General features: G+C 39.8%; 2 annotated features.

Annotated features, from left to right (window-relative positions):
• Positions 2,871 to 3,371: an enhancer, noted in NCBI's record as "H3K4me1 hESC enhancer chr20:21989996-21990496 (GRCh37/hg19 assembly coordinates)". NCBI's record gives its function as "activates a minimal SCP1, AML or CMV promoter by ChIP-STARR-seq in naive H9 embryonic stem cells {active_cell/tissue: H9 hESC(naive)}" and the evidence as "EXISTENCE:reporter gene assay evidence [ECO:0000049][PMID:30033119]".
• Positions 9,655 to 10,854: an enhancer, noted in NCBI's record as "BRD4-independent group 4 enhancer chr20:21982513-21983712 (GRCh37/hg19 assembly coordinates)". NCBI's record gives its function as "activates an origin of replication core promoter dependent on BRD2, P300/CBP, MED14 and CDK7 cofactors, and independent of BRD4, by STARR-seq in HCT116 cells {active_cell/tissue: HCT116}" and the evidence as "EXISTENCE:reporter gene assay evidence [ECO:0000049][PMID:35650434]".

The raw sequence follows: 22,881 nt of genomic DNA, 5'->3' as shown, positions 1-22,881 counted from the left end.
TTGCATCTATTTGATTCTTCTCTCTTTTCTTCTTTATTAGTCTTGCTAGCGGTCTATCAATTTTGTTGATCGTTTCAAAAAACCAGCTCCTGGATTCATTAATTTTTTGAAGGGTTTTCTGTGTCTCCATTTTCTTCAGTTGTGCTCTGATCTTAGTTATTTCTTGCCTTCTGCTAGCTTTTGAATGTGTTTGCTCTTGCTTTTCTAGTTCTTTTAATTGTGATGTTAGGGTATCAATTTTGGATCTTTCCTGCTTTCTCTTGTGGGCATTTAGTGCTATAAATTTCCCTCTACACACTGCTTTGAATGTGTCCCAGAGATTCTGGTATGTTGTGTCTTTGTTCTCGTTGGTTTCAAAGAACATCTTTATTTCTGCCTTCATTTCGTTATGTACCCAGTAGTCATTCAGGAGCAGGTTGTTCAGTTTCCATGTAGTTGAGCGGTTTTGAGTGAGTTTCTTAATCCTGAGGTCTAGTTTGATTGCACTGTGGTCTGAGAGACAGTTTGTTATAATTTCTGTTCTTTTACATTTGCTGAGGAGAGCTTTACTTCCCAGTATGTGGTCAATTTTGGAATAGGTGTGGTGTGGTGCTGAAAAAAATGTATATTCTGTTGATTTGGGGTGGAGAGTTCTGTAGATGTCTGTTAGGTCCGCTTGGTGCAGTGCTGAGTTTTATTCCTGGGTATCCTTGTTAACTTTCTGTCTTGTTGTTCTTGTTTATCTGTCTAATGTTGACAGTGGGATGTTAAAGTCTCCCATTATTATTGTGTGGGAGTCTAAGTCTCTTTGTAGGTCTCTCAGGACTTGCTCTATGAATCTGGGTGCTCCTGTATTGGGTGCACATATATTTAGGATAGTTAGCTCTTCTTGTTGAATTGATCCCTTTACCATTATGTAATGGCCTTCTTTGTCTCTTTTGATCTTTGTTGGTTTAAAGTCTGTTTTATCAGAGACTAGGATTGCAACCCCTGCCTTTTTTTGTTTTCCATTTGCTTGGTAGATCTTCCTCCATCCTTTTAGTTTGAGCCTATGTGTGTCTCTGCACGTGAGATGGGTTTCCTGAATACAGCACACTGATGGGTCTTGACTCTTTATCCAATTTGCCAGTCTGTGTCTTTTAATTGGAGCATTTAGTCCATTTACATTTAAAGTTAATATTGTTGTGTGTGAAATTGATCCTGTCATTATGATGTTAGCTGGTTATTTTGCTCGTTAGTTGATGCAGTTTCTTCCTACCCTCGATGGTCTTTACAATTTGGCATAATTTTGCAGTGGCTTTTACCAGTTGTTCCTTTCCATGTTTAGTGCTTCCTTCAGGGGCTCTTTTAGGGCAGGCCTGGTGGTGATAAAATCTCTCAGCATTTGCTTATCTGTAAAGTATTTGATTTGTCCTTCACTTATGAAGCTTAGTTTGGCTGGATATGAAATTCTGGGTTGAAAATTCTTTTCTTTAAGAATGTTGAATATTCGCCCCCACTCTCTTCTGGCTTGTAGAGTTTCTGCCGAGGGATCCGCTGTTAGTCTGATGGGCTTCCCTTTGTGGGTAATCTGACCTTTCTCTCTGGCTGCCCTTAACATGTTTTCCTTCATTTCAACTTTGGTGAATCTGACAATTATGTGTCTTGGAGTTGCTCTTCTCGAGGAGTATCTTTGTGGCATTCTGTGTATTTCTGGAATCTGAATGTTGGCCTGCCTTGCTAGATTGGGGAAGCTCTCCTGGAAAATATCCTGCAGAGTGTTTTCCAACTTGGTTCCATTCTCCCTGTCACTTTCAGGTACACCAATCAGACGTAGATTTGGTCTTTTCACATAGTCCCATATTTCTTGGAGGCTTTGTTCGTTTCCTTTTATTCTTTTTTCTCTAAACTTCCCTTCTTGTTTCATTTCATTCATTTCATCTTCCATCACTGATACCCTTTCTTCCAGTTGATCGCATTGGCTCCTGAGGCTTCTGCATTCTTCATGTAGTTCTCAAGCCTTGGCTTTCAGCTCCATCAGCTTCTTTAAGCCCTTCTCTGCATTGGTTATTCTAGTTATGCATTCACCTAAATTTTTTTCAAAGTTTTTAACTTCTTTGCCTTTGGTTTGAATTTCCTCCTGTAGCTCAGAGTAGTTTGATCGTCTGAAGCCTTCTTCTCTCAACTCATCAAAGTCATTCTCCATCCAGCTTTGTTCTTTTGCTGGTGAGAAACTACGTTCCTTTGGAGGAGGAGAGGCACTCTGCTTTTTAGAGTTTACAGTTTTTCTGCTCTGTTTTTTCCCCATCTTTGTGGTTTTATCTACTTTAGGTCTTTGATGATGGTGATGTATAGATGGGTTTTTGGTGTGGATGTCCTTTCTGTTCGTTAGTTTGCCTTCTAACAGATAGGACCCTCAGCTGCAGGTCTGTTGGAGTTTGCTAGAGGTCCACTCCAGACCCTGTTTGCCTGGGTACCAGCAGCAGTGGCTGCAGACCAGCGCATTTTTGTGATCCGCGAATGCTGCTGTCTGATCATTCCTCTGGAATTTTTGTCTCAGAGGAGTAACCGGCCATGTGAGGTGTCAGTCCGCCCCTACTGGGGGGTGCCTCCCAGTTAGGCTGCTTGGGGGTCAGGGGTCAGGGACCCACTTGAGGAGGCAGTCTGCCCCTTCTCAGATCTCCAGCTGCGTGCTGGGAGAACCACTGCTCTCTTCAAAGCTGTCAGACAGGGACATTTAAGTCTGCAGAGGTTACTGCTGTCTTTTTGTTTGTCTGTGCCCTGCCCCCAGAGGTGGAGCCTACAGAGGCAGGCAGGCCTCCTTGAGCTCTGGTGGGCTCCACCCAGTTCAAGCTTCCTGGCTGCTTTGTTTACCTAAGCAAGCCTGGGCGATGGCGGGCGCCCCTTCCCCAGCCTTGCTGCCTCCTTGCAGTTTGATCTCAGACTGCTGTGCTAGCAATCAGCGAAACTCCATGGGCGAAGGACCCTCCGAGCCAGGTGCGGGATATAATCTCATGGTGTGCCGTTTTTTAAGCCCATCAGTAAAGCTCAGTATTGGGGTAGGAGTGACCCGATTTTCCAGGTGCCGTCTGTCACCCCTTTCTTTGACTAGGAAAGGGAACTCCCTGACCCCTTGCACTTCCTGAGTGACACAATGCCTCACCCTGCTTTGGCTCACGCACAGTGCACTGCACCCACTGTCCTGTGCCCGCTGTCTTGCACTCCCTAGTGAGATGAACCCGGTACCTCAGATGGAAATGCAGAAATCACCCGTCTTCTGCATCGCTCATGCTGGGAGCTGTAGACTGGACCTGTTCCTATTCGGCCATCTTGGCTCCATATGTCCTTTTTTTAAAACCAGTCTTTAGGCCAGGTGCCATGGTTCACCCCTGTACTCCTACAACTTTGGGAGGCCAATTCAGAAGAATGACTTTAGGCCAGGAGTTCAAGACCAGCCTGGGCAACATAGAAAGACTCTGTCTCTATAACAAAAATTAAAAATTAGCCAGGCATAGGGGTGCATGCCTGTAGTCCCAGTTACTCCAGAGGCTGAGGGGAGAGGCCCGCTTGAAGCCAGGAGTTTGAGGCTGCAAGTGAGCTGTGATAACACCACTGCACTCTAGCCTGATCACACCACTGTACTCAGTCTCTAGAATTTGATGGCAAAAATGTGCAGATGTCTTCACTGTGCAGGAGAGACTTGAAGGAGACCAGTTCATAGACAGGCCCAGGATCCCTTCCCATCAGGGCTCCTACAACCCTCTCACTTAAATGCTGCCCAAGTTCCTCTAAACTCTGCGGCATCCAGACTTCCTATTTCTGAGCAACTCTTTGTGTGAAATAAAAAAATAAATAAATAATGATCAAGGCCCTCACCTGCCCTTCTTGGCCTTCCATCCTTAGACACTAGTTCAAGGAAATTTCCGAGTGTTGGAAGGTGCTCTGCCTCTCACTGCTCTGGGTCTGCTCCCTAAGACTCTCACCTTCCACAGCAGAGTGATTCTTTCCCATTCCTTCCCCTAGATCCAGAAATCTGCTCCCTATTTTCTGGGCAAATTGCCTGCTGAGGATATGTCTGCAAAATGATGTTCTCTCTGTTATTAAATGGGGAGATTGCGGTGACATAAATGAGTTCCTGTTGCCAGGAGACCTTTGTGCCTCATAGCCAACAAAATCATATTTGCAATTTCTCTCCTCATCATCTAGTGATTCAGCTGAATCGTGAATTGCTTGCAGTATAATGGTGCAGTGCTGAGGTCAGGATGGAATGGGGGGTCATCTCTAAAGACAGAAGACATGAGTTCAAATCTAGACTCCAACATGTGTTAGCTTTGTGTAACATGAGTAAGCACCTTCCCTCTAAGCCCAGGCTTCCTTTTCTGAAAAATAAAGATCATAATAGGTACTTCCTCAGAAGGTCACTGTAGGGAATAAAATGAGTTAAAACACACAAAAGGCTTAGAGCAGTGCCTGGCATTGGTGTGCTCTCAGTAAATATTAACCATTATTGTTATCATCTGTCTTTGCTACAGTCTAGTGTGATCAAGGGAGGTGGGGTGTGGCTCCCCAAAAGCAAGATTGGGAAATTAATGAGGGTAGTTAATTTGGGAGCCTGGCATAGAACATGCCTTCACTCAGTGGTGACTCTGGTTGTGATTAGCAAATCCCTCCCCTCATCATGTTACATTGTGTTAGAGCCTAACTGGGGAAATGACTGACTTTGAATCTCCAATTGAGACCTGCAGTGTCATCTTTATGCCTACTTCCACTTTACTTTTCAAACAGTGATCACCTAACTATACAAGAGGCAGGCTAAGAATGTACCTAGGGCACCCAAAAATAAGAGGCACCAAATTTTTTTTAAATGGAGGGGGAGGTGGAAGAAAGTTTAATTTCAATTAGCATATCCAAAAGTTGGCAACTAAAAAATACAGAGAGAAGATACTTCAGTTCCCAAAAGTGCACACACTGACCATTGTTTCTTAGATTTGCATATGCCTTAGGGGCACTGATAGCTTTAGGAAGGTCATGTGACTGATGCCATTGGTGGCTACACTTGTTCCCTTGCCCTTCCTTCCAAGGTTCCTAGCCTGACTTCCAGCCTCTGCCAGGACCTGCATTCATTCCTTGCCTGAATGAAGGAAGGCTTTGCAGGCATCAATTGAGAAAACCCCACAGAAGGGTTAACCCTGAGGCCCACGGAGCTCCCCAGTTGGGTTGATCTCCAGCTGCTCACTGTTGTAAGCAGCTTCCCTAGGCACCTCCGATGGACTCTCTTTTCTTCCTGGCTCACTTCCCGACCCCCCTGATGGAACTTTCTTCACAACCCAAATAAACTATTTGCACTCAAATTCTTGTCACAGGGTTTGCTTCTGGGGGATTCCAAACTAAGACAAATTATGAGCCCACCCTGATCTTTGTGGACATCCTTTGCTCCATCTGCAGCCTTTTGGGTTAACGCTGGTGTAGGCCTTCTCTGGCTGAAGAAGCCAAACTCCACCACATTCTTTTACTCCTGGCTGACGTTATCCACCAGCTGCCTACCAGGGGTGGTCACCACTCAGGGACACTTAGTTCACATTCCCCGGATGGCTCTTGGCCCCTCCAATATTTACTTTCATTTCTATTTCAGACGCAACAAAGTCTTTGTACTGAGCTCAGGGGGCCAGGACGGACTGGTGGCATGCCCACAAGTGGTGCATTAGGAAGGATATGCAGCATGTGTATTTACAGGATCCACAGCCGTTTAGTCCAGTGCTTGTCTGTCACAGCTTTGTCATCTTTAAATTAGCTGACTGGCAGTCACAGAGGCATGGGTGATGCCTGCCTTTAATTAAGTTCAAGAGAGAAATGTAAGCACATCTGGGCTAAGAGTTCATGTACCAATTTGTGGTGGAATTAAGTTCCCTTGGTAAGCCAGGTACCATTGTCTCTCAGAACAATGTAACAAATGTGAATATATATGCCTAACTATTTTATATCTGAAATAACTGAAGTGATTCAACAACTATTTATTTCCCCTGGGGATTCTTTGAAATTATGTACTCTCACTTTAGTTCTAACATGAAATATCTTAAATAATCCACCTATTTAAGGCCATTTAGGTGTTTTTAACTTAAAAAAACTGCATTTCACTGGATGGGCTTGGCACTTTGGAGATATTTTCATAAAAACTAACATAGTGCTTCACAGAATGTTCCTCTAAGAAACCCCTGAGAGGAAAGGAGAATAATTTTCCAAGATTTTTGGTGCCCAGACTGAAGCTGCCTACTCAGCTAAAACATTGACATTGATTTGAATCTAATGGCTCTTAAGAATACCTGCAAATTTCACTATTTACTTCATTATGCATTTCCCTATTCATGTTAATATAAAATTATGTTTTGCATTACCTTTAAAGAAGTTGACATTCCAACATTCCATGAAACTTGCTAGAATCTGTTTCATCTCTAGAAACCTCAAGAGAGTTTTCAGGGATTACACACAAGTGGCCTAATCATGTTCTCTTTGTTTCTCTGTCTTTGGGGCTGGCACAGAATTTTTAAATGATTTAAATTAAATGATAACAATTGAGCAATTCAGAGCTTTTGTATAAAAAGCTAGAATTTCTGTTTGGTTTTGTTTGTTTGTCTTATTTTATTTTGTTTGTTTTTTGGAAAATCAGAAGGCTTACCTGGAATAGAATAAGTGTTATCTCCTTTTAATGGGCATTTGTTCTCTAATTCACCACAGTCTCCACCATACCCTATTGCCACATAACTGTCTGTGATTCCTTAGAAACCACTGGGTTTATAAGCCCTAATTTACATCAGTCTTGGCATTCATTCAGCTGGCTAATTACAAAACACCCTGAAAACACAGTGCACAGAAGAACCCCTGTTCACCGCTCCCCTTTTGATTTAGTATTTGATCAGTCTTAACTGATTGTTCAGAATCTACTAATTCAGTGCTTTTATCTGAAATAACTGAATTGATAAATATCATAAAATATTTTATGATATTTACAAAATTATTTAAATATTCATAAAATTCATGTTTAAATAATCATAAAATATTTAAGATTAATTAAGGATCACTAATAATTAATTATAATAACGAATGACAAGTGTAATAAATAAGGATAAGGGATAATTAACAATATCCCCATTTTTTCTGCATGTCCCTAAAACTCTCAGTCCCACTTTTATGAAAACCTGTTCTGTTAGCTTTTTATAAATTCTTACCTGGTATATTACAGGTTCTAAAACTCCTTGCCTCCCTCAAGTTCAATCACTGCCCAGTGCTGAATGCCAAATGAACAATTCTTCATAAAACACTATTTGAATATGGCATCATGGCATTTTAGGATTTAGCCTATTTCTTCCCCCATCCCCTCTAGGGATGCAGGCAGTAAATTGTGTAGTGTTACTCAGAATGTGGTCTGCAGAACACTACCAGTTATGTTAACTGCCTGTTATTAATTTGCAACAAGGTAGGCAATTGAGCAGAAAATTCATTTAGAAATTTTCATAGCAATTTGACATTGTTGCAACATCCATGTGCATTATCAGCGTTCTCTTCCTTGAAATGAAGACAGATTTGTTTAGATGCTGCCACACTTACGTGGTGATTAGCAAGTGGTGCAAGCTGGAGATGAGTCATATGTGGTAAGACTATGCACCAATCCAGGAGAGATAAGAAATTTTGAAAAACTAGCCCTTTACCACTTTGAGAAGCACTGAGTTAGTAGATTCTCAACAATCAGTAAAGACTGATCAAATACTAAATCAAAATATATTCATATGATAGCACAAATACAGTAAACATAGGGTTAGATATACTCATGATATAACTTTGATAAATATTTTCATTGAAAACAATTTCACTCCACATCATTTTAAGCCACTAGAATCCCAATCTTCCACATAGAACTCTTCAAAATGACACATTTCTTCTGCATTTCCCAAAACTCTCAGTCCCACTTGTCATGGTACATGAAGAACTTGCCTGGAGAATTGTGAAGGTCATCATGTCTTTGGGTTTCATAACGAATTCCTCTAGTGTTTTCTAACTGGGATTAAGGTAACTAGTGTGGTTTTACATGATTCCTTTCATTGCTAGAAAACAATTGGGATTTTTTTTATTTTCATTATTTATTGTTTAAGCATTCTGACACTCCTTCTAATTCCTTATGCCTGGCAGTGAACATCAGAGAAAGCCCTTATGGGTAACATGAATGGAGTCTGTGTTGTAAGATTCATAGTAAAGCAATCCCTGCTTATTCCAAGGGGGAGAAATTCCAAAGAATGGCCACAGCAGGGTGATGGATACAGGCTGGCAAGTGACATAGCCATGCTTGGGTTCCTATATCTGATCTTCATATTCACACAGATAGATAATAAACAAATGCCTTTAACAACCCATCCAGGAAAGGATAAATGCATTCTGTAGAAGCTGTTTGTTAAGACTGCAGCAAATGTCCCTGACACCCAGCAGCAAAAATAGCAAATTGGGCTGGTCTTTCAGGAGCAGTGTTGAGTTTACAACAATCCATACACTCAGGCTTTTCTGATTGTTGTGAGCAAGGACACACTTCTTCAGGCAGGGACAGGGATGTGGAAGGTACTTATGGCAAGGACTTTCACTCTGTGCACTACTGATGAGTCAATGGGGGAAGTGAATCTGTGACATTTAACTGAATTAGCAGAATGGCCAAATCAGTCAGGCCAGCCCACTGAGACTGAGGACACAGGGTGTGGAAAAACATGTTGGTGTTTAAAAATCAGCTACCTCTGCAGGTACAAGAGAGAGATTTGGGCAATAGTTCTTCTCCTAGACCAGCTATGAGGCCAGTACTTTAGAAACATCAGTCACAAATTTAAAATCATCATAAATGCAACAATATTTCTGCCCTGTCAGCATCTTGATATAAGCCAAACATGTAGATTGATTATAAATATTACATGTTTTAGAAATAATGCCTACTAATTTTTTAGCCAAGAGACCACTTAGCCTCATAGCTATGTTTAAATACACATTTGAAAATGTAGTGGTGACCACAGTTCAGTGTCATTACATTTGAGAGCTATAATAGCTGGCTGCAAAGAAGCACACATTTTTATCCATTTAATGTTGATACTCTGACATATTTGGAAAGATTTTGTGAATAAGCAACTTCATTTCCAATAAATAAACTCCAAAATGTATATTTAAAGAAATTAAGAAAGTTGCATGATTTGCACAAGCAAGAATAGAACAGAAAATTTTTGTTCTGGTGTAGTAAATGTGTAAACTTGGTTACACTGAAACCATGAGGTGATGTCCCACTTAAGCACTTAAGTGGCCTTTATTTGGTTATTGCATTTCTCCCTTTTAGGGTTTTTTTTTTCTTTTTTTTTTTTTTTTTTTTTTGAAGTGGAGTTTCACTCTTGTTGCTCAAGCTGGAGTGCAATGGCACGATCTCGGCTCACTGCAACCTCCACCTTCCGGGTTCAATCGATTCTCCTGCCTCAGCCTCCTGAGTAGCTGGGATTATAGGCATGCGCCACCACGCCTGGCTAATTTTGCATTTTTAATAGAGATGGGGTTTCTCCATATTGGTCAGGCTGGTCTCGAACTCCCGACCTCAGGTGATCCGCCTGCCTTGGCCTCCCAAAGAGCTGCAATTACAGGCAAGAGCCACCGTGCCCAGCCGTAGGGTAATTCTCATCACACATTTATGTCTGCTGCTTCCATAGCAATATGTCTTAGTCCATATTGGGTTGCTATAACAGAATACCAGAACTGAGTGATTTATAAAGAAAATGGGTTTATTTAGCTCATGGTTCTGCAGGGTGGAAAGTTCAAGGGCAAAGCCCTGACTTCTGGTGAGGGTTTCCATGTTGCCTCTAATATGGCAGAGAAGGTCAAAAGGGAAATGGACGCGTGCTAAGAGAGAAAAGCTGAGGAGCGTGCTGCCTTTATAATGACACACTCTTTCAGAAACTAATCTATTCCTGTAGGAACTTACCTAGTCTTGCCAGAGGGAGAAGTCACTACTGTGAGAATGGCACCAATCCATCAATGAGGACAGAGCCCTCATGACCCAAACACCTCCCATCAGCTTCCACCTTTCAACACTGCCACAATGAGAAATCAAACTTCAACATGAGTTTTGGTGAGAACAACCAAATCATACCTAAAGCATAGCATGGTGAGTATGAAATGACACATTTCTATTTAGCAGAAAAACCTGGTGATTCATTTCCATCTCATCAGTTTGGTGGCAGACAATGTGCTACTTCAATGTGGGGACATCCACCATCCTGGGAAAAAGGACAAATAAATACTAATGCCCTTTTAATTCCCTGTAAACCCATAAGGCTCAGCTGCTTTAGGTTAGCTTTAATCTTATTTGTCAAATTTATGTCAGTTTGTGGTATTAGAAGTCTTTTATCTTTGCTCGTCTTGCAACACAGAAGGATCTCGGAGGTTGGCTTGTTACTTTTCTCCCTTGTTGTTTTGTTACTTATTATTAATTAATGTTGTTGCCTCCCCCTCACAAATGGCATGGGAAAGCTAGAATCACAGCTTTGCTGAGTTGGTCTGACCCTGGAATGCTGCTCTCATGTTTCTAGCTTCCTAGGATGAAACAACACTATCATGAGTGAGGAAACACCCCATCCAGGCTTTCTTACTCACACTGCTGCAACTATAGTTTTGGAAAGAAAAGCCAGCCAGAATGTGTGAAGAAGATGTGAGCTCACCTGCGCAATCTGGTGACTCATAGTTGCACCAGCCTAGGGAAAAAGCAATTAAAGCATCAGAAAGAGGGACTTCAGAGAGGAAACATAAATGTTTGACTAGGGATTGCAGCTGCAGTGAGCCTGGTGCACTGATGCCTGTAGCAGTAGGGAACAAACCAAGGCACATCACTGTCAATATGCAAAACACATCAAGAAATGCAAACTTCAAAAGAGGCAAAAAAGAGGATTCTACTGCATCAAGGAATACAGTGTCTCTAAGCTTTATTTCTCTTTGAAGCTGGGGTGGAGGTCATTTCTATTCATCCATCCATCTATCCCCTATTTCTATTCATTTGAAACATCTCGAGTTCCATAAAGCACCTAGTATGTGCCACATAATGCGAGGGTTTGATTCAGTGGGTATGTGAGCACTTATGTACCAAGCATTTTTAGAAGCTATGGAATATATAAAAATAAAAAACACGTTCCTTGCACCCTCAGAGATAGCGGAAAGCTGCAGCACATTCAATGAAATTCATCTATATTTGTATTGAGGTGATACTCAAGGCATCATTTATTTAGCACAAAGCAATGATTTTATGGCCCATTACTCTCACAAAGAAGTATTCTTCTAGATTACATTGCATACCACATAGTGTCTGTACTGTACAAACACTTGGATGTTAAGCAAAGAGTTGCATTGATTGAGGACATCTTTAAAATCATCTCATCCACTCAGATTGTTTTCCAGCTGAGCATACAGGTCCCTAGAGGGGAAGTGGACTATCCAAGATTGCCAAGTGTGCATCTTAAAATTAATTAACAGAAAATACTTTGAAGGAATTTTATAATTCTGAAAGAAATACTTCCCTCTCATGTGACCATGGTATGAGGACTATTTTTTGCTAATAATAAAGGAGCGTGGCTGGGTACGGTGGCTCATGCCTGTAATCCCAGCACTTTGGGAGGCCGAGGTGGGCGGATCACCTGAGGTTGGGAGTTCGAGACCAGCCTGACCAACATGGAGAAACCCCATCTCTACTAAAAGTACAAAGTTAGTCGGGCATGGTGGCACATGCCTGTAATCCCAGCTACTCAGAAGGCTGAGACAGGAGAATCGCTTGAACCCGGGAGGCAGAGGTTGCTGTGAGCCGAGATTGCACCAAGCTGAGATTGTGCCATTGCACTCCAGCCTAGGGGACAAGAGCGAGACTTTGTCTCAAAAAAATAAAAAATTAAAAATAAATAAAAAAGGAGCATTTGCAGTCAAACCTATCTCGCCTGGTCATGACAAAGAATGGGAGTGGGGAGTACTGTGGGTCAGATTATCTTATTTCATAATGAAAATGGAAAGTCATCCAATACTTTTCTGGCAATTGTCATTTTATCTCACTTTCATAAAAATCCTTTTATCCAAAGGAAAAACAAGCAAACAATTCACCAATGTGAAGAAAGTAATTCATAGCAAATTTACAGTATGAATTTTCCCACTGAGAGTTAAATCATTCTCACAAAGAAAATGCTGTTTCCGTCCGTGGTTTCACCTGTGCTAAGCATCAGCCTTAGGAGAAAAGAAGAGATCATGCAAATTATGCAAACAACCATTGATAATACAGTACAGCTATTTCTCAAATTATGTACTTCTATGCATTTCTTTTTTATTGATACATAATATTTTACACAGTTATCACATGCGGTACATGCGATATTTTGTTGCATGCATAGAATGTGTAATGATCAAATCAGTCTATTAGGGGTGCTCATCACATTGAGTATTTATCATTTCTATGTGTTGAGAACATTTCAAGTTCTGTCTTCTGGCTACTTTGAAGTATATAACACATTGTCGATAACCATAGTCACCCTGCTTTGCTATTGAACATTGGAACTTATTCCTTCTAGATAATTGCATGTTTTCACCTATTGACCAACCCCTCTTCATCACCACCTCCCACTCACACCCCCTTTCCAGCATCTGGTATCCATCATTCTACTCTCTACCTCCATGAGATCAACATTTTTAGCTCCCACAGATGAGTGGAATGTATGGTATCTGTCTTTTCATGTCCAGCTTATTTCACTTAACATAATGACCTCTAGTTCCATTCCTGTTGCTGCAAATGACTTGATTTCATTCTTTTTTTTAAATAACTGAATAGTATTTCATTGTGTATCTATACTATGTTTTCTTTACCCATTGTTCATTGATGGACACTTAGGTTGATTTCATATCTTGACTATTGTGAATAATGTTACAATAAACACAGCAGTGCAGGTATTCCTTTGGCATAATTATTCCCTGTCTTTTGGATAAATACCCAGTAGTAGGATTGCTGGATCATATGGTAGTTCTATTTTTAGTTCTTTGCAAAATCTCCGTAGTTTTCCATAGTGGCAGCAATAATTTACATTCCCTCTAACAGTGTATAAGAATTCCCTTTTCTCCACAAAATCACTAGAAGCTTTTATGTTTTGTCTTTTTAGTAATAGCCATTTTAATGGGGGTGAGATGATATCTCATTGTGCTTTTGATTTGTATTGCCCAGTTGATTAGTAATGTTAAGTAGTTTTTCATGTACTTATTGGCCATTTGTGTGTCTTCTTCTGAGAAGTATCTACTCATGTCCTTTGCCCACTTTTTAATGGAATTATTTGTTGTTGTTTTTTTTTACTGTTGAGTTTTTCAAATTTCTAGTATATTCTCAATATTAGTCTTTTGTCAGATGAATAAGTTGTAAATATTTTCTCCATTCAACAGGTTGTCTCCACTCTATTGACTGTTTCCTTTTCTGTGAAGAATCTTATTAGTTTAATATAGTCCCTTTTGTCTATCTTTATTTTTGTTGTATGTGCTTTTAAGGTCTTAGACATAAAATATTTGCCTAGACGAATGTCCTGAGTGTTTTATCCTATGTTTTCTTCCTGTAGTTTTATAGTTTGGGGTCTTGTGTTAAAGTCTTTAATTCATCTTGAGTTGATTTTCATGTGTCATAAAAGATGGGGATCCAGTTTCATTCTTCTACTTATAGATATCCAATTTTTACAGCTCCATTTATTGAAGAGGGTGTCTGTCCCATAACATATGTTCTTGGCACTTTTGTCAAAAATCAGTTGATTTTAAATATGTTAATTTATTTCCGGATTCTCTACTTTGATCCTTGTGTCTGTTTTTATAACAATATCATGCTGTTTGGATTCCTATAGCCTTGTAATACATTTTGAAAACAGGTAGTGTAATGCCTCCAGCTTTCTGATTTTGCTCAGGATTGCTCAGGCTATTTGGGCTTTTTGATCCTATACAAATTTTATAATTTTTTTCTATTTTTGTAAAAAATAGCATTGGTATTTAGTAGTGATTGTATCCAATCTACAGACTGCTTTGGGCATTATGGTTCCAGTATAGAAACATTAATGATATGAATACTTCTGATCCATGAGCATGCGGTGACTTTTGATTTGTTGATGTGCTTTTTGGTTACTTTTATCCATGTGTTATAGTTTTACTTTTAGAGATTTTCACCACCTTGGTTAATTTATTCCTAGGTATTTTGTTTTCTTTGTTGCTACTGTAAATGAAGTTGCCTTCTTGATTCCTTCCTTAGCTAGTTTATTATTGGTATATAGAAATGTATGGATTTTTGTATGTTGTATCCTGCAACTATACTGAATTTATTTATCGGAGCCAAGAGTTTTTTGGTGGAGTCTTTATGTTTTTCTAGCTGTAAGATTATGTCATCATCAAAGAGGGATAATTTAATTTATTCTTTTTTAATCTGAATGACTTTCTTTTGCCAGATTTCTGTGGCTAAGACTTCCAGTACTATGCTGAATAGGAGAGGTGAAAGCAGGCATCCTTGTCTTACTCCAATTCTTAAGGGGAAGGCTTTAAGCTTTTCCTCTTTTTAGTATGATGTTAGCTGTGTGTCTGTCACATGTGGCCTTTACTATGATGAGGTGTGTTCATTCTGGGCCTAGTTTCTTGAGAGTTTTCATAATGTAGGGATGTTGAATTTTCCACATCTATTGAGATGATCACATGGTTTTTGTATTTATTATGTTGATAAGATGTATCACATTTATTGATTTGCATACGTTTAATCATCTTTGTGTCCATGGGATAAATTCCACTTGAGCGTGGTGTATTTTTTTATGTGCCCTTGGATTCAGTTTGCTAGTATTTTGTTGAGAATTTTTGTATCTATGTTCATCCGTTTTCTTTTTTGTTGCATCATTGTCTGGCTTTAATATCAGGGCAATACTGCCCTCACGGAATGAATTAGGAAGAATTCCCTCCTCTTCAATTTTTGGAATAGTTTCAGGAGAATTAGAGTTAGGTGTTCTTTTAAAGTACAGTAGAATTCAGCCATGAAGCCACCTGGTCCTGAATTATTTTTTTGTTGGAAGATGCTTTATTACTGATTTAATCTTATTACTCATTATTGTTCTGTTTAGCTATTCCATTTTCCTGATTCAATCTTGGTATGTTGGATGTGTACAGGAATATGTTCATTTCTTCCAGGAGTTCTAGTTTGTTAATGTATGCTTGTTCATAATAATCTCTGATAATCTTTTGTATTTCTGTAGTATCAGTTATAATGTTTCCTTTTTAATTTCTCATTTTGTTTACTTGGATCTTCTCTCTCTCTTTTTATTAGCCTAGCAAGTGGTTTATTGATTTTGTTCATCTTTTTTGAAAAGCTACCCTTTTGTTTTATTGAAGCTTTGTACTCTTTCAAATCTCTATTTTGTGTAGTCCTGCTCTGATCTTTGTTATTTTTTTCCTTCTACTAATTTTGGATTTGATATGTTCTCTTATTAGACTTCAGAAGTTTTCATCTATTATTTTGTTAAATTGGTATTTTCACCCTTTTGTTTTCCCTTTGTCTTTTAGGAGACTGAAAATTATAATAATATTTGGTTACCTTATGGTACCCCCATATCCTTTTTATTATTTTGTCTTTATTTTTTCTCTGGCAGGGCTATTTCAAAGGAGCTATCTTCAAGTTCTGAAATTCTTTCTTCTGTTTGATCAAGACTGCTGTTGAAGCTTCTAAATGTTTTTGTATTTCATTCACTAAGCTCTCCAGTCCCAACGTTTTAATTTTTTATTTTTAATGATATCTATCTCTTTGGTAAATTTCTTATTTGTACCCTGAATTGTTTCTGTAATTTGTTTGGCTTATGTTTTAGAATTCTGCTGAATTCTAAAAATGGAATTGAATTGAATTCTAAAAATGGAATTGAATTGAATTCTAAAAATTGAATTGAATTAATCCAAAAAGAAGTTCACATTGAGCTTCTTTACTATCAATATTTTTTAATTCTTTTTTTGAGGATTTTATAAATTTCTTTTGATTAGGTTCTATTGCTGGACAATTATTGTGTTTATTTGGAGGTGTTATATTTCCTTGCTTTTTCATGTATCCTCTATCCTTACACTGATATCTTTGCACCTGGTGTAATGGTCACTTCTTCCAATTTTTTCCAGTTGCTTTTGTAAAGGAAAACATTTTCCTGGAGATGTAGCTATAACGTTGGTTGTGTACGGCATCTTGGCTTTGATTCTGGACATGTGCAGTAGTGTAGTTTGTGTGTGGCTTCTTCAGCTGGAAACAGCATCAGCAGTGTCTATAATTTCTTGGCAGCTTAGGGTGCAGTTGTTAGTGGAGGTTGTGGTGAAGTTTTGTGGGGAACTGGGATGCCACATAGGCCAGTCCTCAAGCACCAATGGTGTCATCAATGAACTGTCCTTGGGCACCAGAGTGGCATATGCTGACACTGGTGTTACTGAGTCCAGACACACCAATTATTCAGCCTCCAGGTGGCTTGTTTGTGTGCTGGGAATATCAGCAGTTGGTTGGGCAGTTGGGCAGGTTCTTGATCCCTTGGGCAGCTGGTGTGACATAGCCAGTGGCAGTGGCAGTGGTGGGATAACCTTCTGGGACCCAAGCAGTCTGTGCTGATATAGACAGTGGCTGTGATGGGTTGGATGAACTGGTTCCAAGACCAACAGGTGAAGCAATTAGGTGGTCAGCTGCGGTGGTAGTGGCTGGTTGCATGGGCTTGATCTCAGACCCCAGGAGAATTGCTCAGGTGCCACCCATGGTAGACTGGGCTGGGTGAGCCCCAGGCCCATGTACAGTGTGCTCTGGTCTGGGAGTGGGAAGTAGAGTCAAGCCAGGTAGACCTGCTTTCAGGCTCCCCAGTGGTACATGCAGGCACTATCTGTGATAGGCATGGTTGGGGAAATCCCCCAGTTGCCGTAGAATGCTCAGGTGAGTGGGGCAGTGGCTGTGCTGTGGCCCTGCTACTGGGAGGGCAGATTTGCTTTCTTTAGGAGCAGCCATAGGCAGGCAGCTGGTGACATGAGGTTTGCTCATGCTTTTGCTCATGCTGCAGCAGCCCACAGTGGAAGTGGTGATTGCAGGCAGTGGAATTTTTCTTTGGGGCATGTGAAAATGAACAGCTGCCTCTCTGACGGGGCAGCAAGTTTATTGCCAATGGCTTCCACCTCAGCCCTTGCAAGGGTCACTTTTTTAGTCTTTGATTTTCAACCCCACCCCCAAAAGTTGTCCAGTAAAGCACTATAGTATAGCAAATGCACCAGATTTGGAGTCAAGAGATTGAGCCTCATCATTCTCACCTGTAAAAAGGGCACAATAGGCCGGGTGCTGTGGCTCACGCCTGTAATCCCAGCACTTTGGGAGGCCCAGGAGGGCGGATTGCCTGAGCTCAGGAGTTCACGACCAGCTTGGACAAAACGGTGAAGCCCCGTCTCTACTAAAATACAAAAAAAAAAAAAAAATTAGCTGGGTGTTTGGCATGTGCCTGTAGTCCTAGCTACTCAGGAGGCTAAGGCAGGAGAATTGCTTGAACTCGGGAGGCAGAGGTTGCAGTGAGCTGAGATCACGCCACTGCACTCCAGCCTGGGTGACAGAGCGAGACTCCATCTCAAAAAAAAAAGGGAGCACGTTAAAAACTATGCTAACAGTTTTTCAGGGTAGCTAAAAACATTAATAGCTTGTATACAGGTAATAGCTATTTCATTATATATTTATTAAAGAAAAAGCCTGAGAACCCTTGCCTTGTAGATTTGCTTCGTATTGTTTCTCTTCGTGCTGCTGTGCATAATCTATTCTGGATACAAGGCTAAAACTCCTGAAAAACTTAGGCCTCCAGAGTCTGGCCACAACCTGCCTCTCCAGCATCATCCCTATCACTCCCCACATACACCGTCAGTTCCCGTAAGACCTCAAAATGCTCACCATCTCCTAAGTGCCTTTTCATAGGCAAGCCCCTCTGTCTGAAAATACCTTCACCTGGAGAGCCCTGTCCTCCATTCAGCTTTCTATCCACTCTTGGAAGCTTGAATTACCTTCTCCTCTCTGCACCAGGGGCCCCTGGTATATATTTCCATCAGACCACTTACTATTAGGTTGGTGCCAAGGTAACTGCGATTTTTGCCATTGAAAGTAATGGTAGTAAATGACATATTCATTTGTGAGCCATCTCCTTCTTCACTCTGGCCTTTGAGGCACTTGAGGGCAAGAATGGAGCTCCATATACAATTTTATTACCTGAACCTAATGATTTGGCATCCACTGAGACCTGACTGTGTTCCAGGCACTGTACGAAGGTGTTTACATGCATTATCTTGGTTAACACTCATAAAGTCCTGTAAGAGGGATCCTACCGTTGTCCTTGGTTTACAGATTCATTACAAATATTTACTGAGCTCTGATTGTCCCATCCAATTCTCAGAATGATGAATAAAATAAATATGGTCTCTGCTTTCACCAGACTTTTATTCTCCTCAGATGGGAAACAAACAAAAAAAATAAACAAATAGAAATAAAATATCAAGACACTAGTAACTGTTATGAGGGGAATACAATAGGGCATAGCATTAGATTATCTATTTAAAGTGTGATTGTCTACTCTTCAAATAGTGACCAAACACTATTTTAAGTTGTAGGTTAGGAAGCAAGTTTCTGGGGAAGTAATGTTTATAGTCACAAACAATAAGAGTCAGTCATGCAGGCCAGGCATGGTGGCTCATGTCTGTAATCCCAGCACTTTGGGAGGCCAAGGGGGGCCGATCACTTGAGATCAGGCATTCAAGGCCAACATGGTGAAACCCCATCTCTACTAAAATACAAAAAATTAGCTAGGAGTGGTGGTGGGCACCTGTAATCCCAGCTACTAGGGAGGCTGAGGCAGGAGAATTGCTTGAACCCAGGAGGCAGAGGTTGCACCGAGCGGAGATCTCGCCATTGCACTCCAGCCTAAGTGACAGAGCAAGACTTTGTCTCAAAAAAGCAAAACAAAACAAAACAAAAACAACAACAACAACAACAAAAACAGTCAGTCATGCCAAGATCTGGGTTGGGAAGAACATTCCAGGCAGAGGAAATTGCAAGTACAAAGTCCCTGAGGTAGGAAAGAGCTTGACATGTTTGAGGAATGGAAAGAAGTCCAGGATGACTGGTACCATAGAAGAAGGAAATAAAGTCAGGTGGGAAGACTAGGCTAGGTCAAGAAGAGCCTTGTAGAATAGGTGAAAAACATGGGGAGATATTGTTGAGTTTTAATCTGGAGAAAGGCATGCTCTGACTTCCATTTCTTAAAGGATTGCTTTGACTTCTGATAGAGAAAGGCATTTGGAAGGGATTTGGAAGGGCAAGTGTGTAGGAAGGGAGACAGTATGAAGGTAGACCTGACCACAGAATCACATGATGATGAGAAACCTGGGTATCTTGGACTAAAGTGACAGTGACTAACATGGATAACCATTTAACCATTTACAGAGTAATCAATTTGTACCAAGCACTGAACTAAGTACATTCCACTTATTATGCTGCTTACTTCTCATGACAGCCACAATGACAGGCATCTATTCTGATGCTCATTCACAGATGAGGAAGCTGAGACAAAGAGGTTAATAATATGACCAAGGTCACATGAGGATGTGATGGAGTGGGTATTTAGACCAAAGTAAGGTCTTCCCTACACAGGACTCAAGTCAGGAAACCAGAAGGGCAGTCAATTATGTAATTATTAGTAATGTCAAGATCAAGGGTATGAGCCAGGGACTAGGTGAAATGTTCATCAGGAAATAGGTAGATGGAGGAACAATAAATGATAAAAGCAAGCATTTCTCAAATGTCTGCCATGTACCATATCCTTTCCACATATTATCTCATATAATCATTATTATAGCCATACAAAAATTTGAGATATTAACTGCTGTTTATAGATGAGAAAAACGAGAGATTAAATAAATCATTCAAATGCTGCTTCATCACTGTCAGCATTAAATGGGGCAATATGTGCAAAGCACCCAGCAGCAAATAATAGGTATCAAATAAATAAACATTTTCATTTATTAATTAGAGAGGTGCCTGTTGTGTGTCTTTGCTTTTGCTGGTTCTTTCCTTAAACACTATTTCTTCTACTACTAAATAATAAATTAAAATAGTCAGTATTTCATAGCCTCTTTATTAACTGTTCTCAATACTGTGTATTATTTAATTCTTACTAGAGCCCCAGAATGCAGTCTCTTTTTTACAACTGCAGAAACTAAGGCACAAAAAAATGAATGATTTGACCAAGGTAGTTAGACGGTAATTGGAAGACCTTGAAATAAGCCTGGAGTTTAAAAAATCTCTATTTTTACTCCCAGTCCAATATTTTCCTTATTTTACCAACTCTGCATGGCCATTATCTGCCTTTCAAAGTCCTAGTGGTTTCATTGTTTAAAGCCTTGTTCAAATCTCACCTTCTCTCTGTAGTCTTCCCAGATTGTCACGGAAACTCTGATCTCATTCTCTTCTATTCCACTTGTATTTTGCTTAAAACTCAGTGGTTACTTGAGTAAGCTTCTCTTGCCTCCCTGCTAGATCCCAATTGTCTAAAGGATAGGGATTTTTCTTATTGATCTTTCAGTCTCTTACAGTTCTTAGACCAATGTCTGATTCATCAGAAGTACTCAGTAAATATTGGTAGAATTCCTGCAAGCCCCATAAAAGAAAGTCTCTGATGTTGGGAAACAGATATAACTGTGGATCCTGGGGTCTCTACAGGTAAATATCATTTCAGTTTAAATTATTATTTAACAAATTGCAATTAAGACTGTTATGATCGGCCAGGCATGGTGACTCACGCCTGTAATCCCAGCACTTTGGGAGGCTAAGGCAGGCGGATCACCTGAGGTCAGGAGTTCAAGACCAGCCTGACCAACATGGCAAAACCCCATGTCTACTAAAAATACTAAATTAGCCGGGCATGGTGGCGCATGCCTGTAATCCCAGTTATTCGGGAGGCTGAGGTTGGAAAATCGCTTGAGCCCAGGAAGCAGATGTTGCAGTGAGCCGAGATTTCGCCGCTGCACTATAGCCTGGGTGACAGAGAAAGACTCCATTTCAAAAAAAAAAAAAAATACTGTTATGATCATGATGGACATTGAGAAGTTGACGATGCACAGAAGTTTCCTTTTACTAGAATCTCATCTGATCTTCTCTAGTGGTTGCATAATAATTTTCCATCTACTGCAAGTGAATATTGTTTGACCATAAATTTATGGAGAGCTTCATAACTGAAGCTAACTACATAATGGGTAAGACAGTAGACTTTGGAATCAGACTTCTGGTTTAAATCCCACCATTGTTGCAAACTGTGACATTGGAAAAATTCCTTAATTAGTCTATGCCTCAGTTTAAAACAAGGATAATATTAGTATCTCTGTTATAGGCTTGTAAAAATTAAATGTGAGATAATGCCTAAAAAGTACCTAGTTTATTTGCTAATAGTCATATTATATTATTAAGGCTTAGAAATATATGGCAAAGTCTGAAGCACTTTAGTTCACATTAACATAAAATATTATTGGAAGTTTTGAGAAACCTTTCAAAGTTATTTTAAAGAAAGGGAAACTACAGCTGCTTGCACACCGGTTAAAATCAACCATGCAGCATGTCTGGTTTGATTTTAGAGAAGCACAGTTGAACGTCTTCAAATCTCATGACTGAATTCCATGTGATAGCAAAGCAAATATCCCATGCACAGCATTTTCCAGAGAGACTGTGTTTTCCTAGGATTGCAGGCACTGAGTTTCTTCTGCTGAGCCTGTCTGCACCATGTATGGCACTGAGGGGAGTTCAGCGATGTTGCAGACCATGGTTCAAAAGTAAAGAGATATTCCTCTTAAGGTGTTTATTTCAGCTTTGTCTAAAGCTCAGACTCTCAGCTATCAAATGACTAAATTATAATGAAAAGCCCAACCTACTTATTCCAACACCGGTATCAGTCATCTGCTAAAGTACTTCTACCTAATACTCAATCTCAAATTCTATACCAATTTAACTAAATTAGTCATCTCAGTCTTGTGGAGTGTTTCCCATTATCAAGAAACAGAATGGAAAATTATACAAAGCAATACAGTGTTTTCAGAAAGCATATAATTTCTAGTGAGGCAGGAAGTTGGAAATTTTATTTATAAGGCAAAAAGTTCTGTGAATAAAATCACAGAATGAATTCTGAGAACGATTAAGCTCTGATGGAGCAGTCAGGCATGAGCTGTGTATCTTACAATGTCATTGTGCTGAGTGGTCACTAGGAGGGCCAGGGCATCCCCAGTCAGACATCAGTGAAAGGTAAAAGTACTTCTCTAACCTGCCCATAGATGTGATGTGGCTTCAGGAGGAATTTTTACAGCCAGCTGACCTCCAAACAGTAATTGGACACTTTGTTATACTAGCTTTTATTTTAAAAATGTTTTCAATGGAGGAGAAATTGAACCTTAAGAATAAAGAAGAAATATGTCCAGTGAAATAAGTCTACTAGGGTTTTCACTTGAATGTCATCTCACCTGAGCAAAGGAAAAACTTTTAAAACTCTATGGTTCCTATAATAGCTCTTTAAGTAAGAAATTTAAAACTTTTTATAAGTTTCTATCATTGAGCAGTCTTGCACATGCTCTACTGACTTATTTTATGAAAATCTAGTAAGAATAGCTATTAAAGAGGAATCTAAGATTATTTCAATCATTTGCTTCTGAATTTACAAGATATTTAAAAATATCAATTGACTAAAAAAGTGCAAACAGCATTTGCCCTAGAATATTCTTACAGAAAAGAAGAAGAAAAGTCTTCCAACTTTATAAAAATTAGAACACGGATTTTAAAAAATATTTTATGCATTAGGTGATAACAAATAACTAAAG

The sequence above is a fragment of the Homo sapiens genome, chromosome 20 (assembly GCF_000001405.40).
Source record: "Homo sapiens chromosome 20, GRCh38.p14 Primary Assembly".
Taxonomy (NCBI): domain Eukaryota; kingdom Metazoa; phylum Chordata; class Mammalia; order Primates; family Hominidae; genus Homo; species Homo sapiens.
The sequence above is the reverse complement of the archived record's forward strand: the minus strand, read 5'-3'. Positions and strand labels throughout refer to the sequence as shown.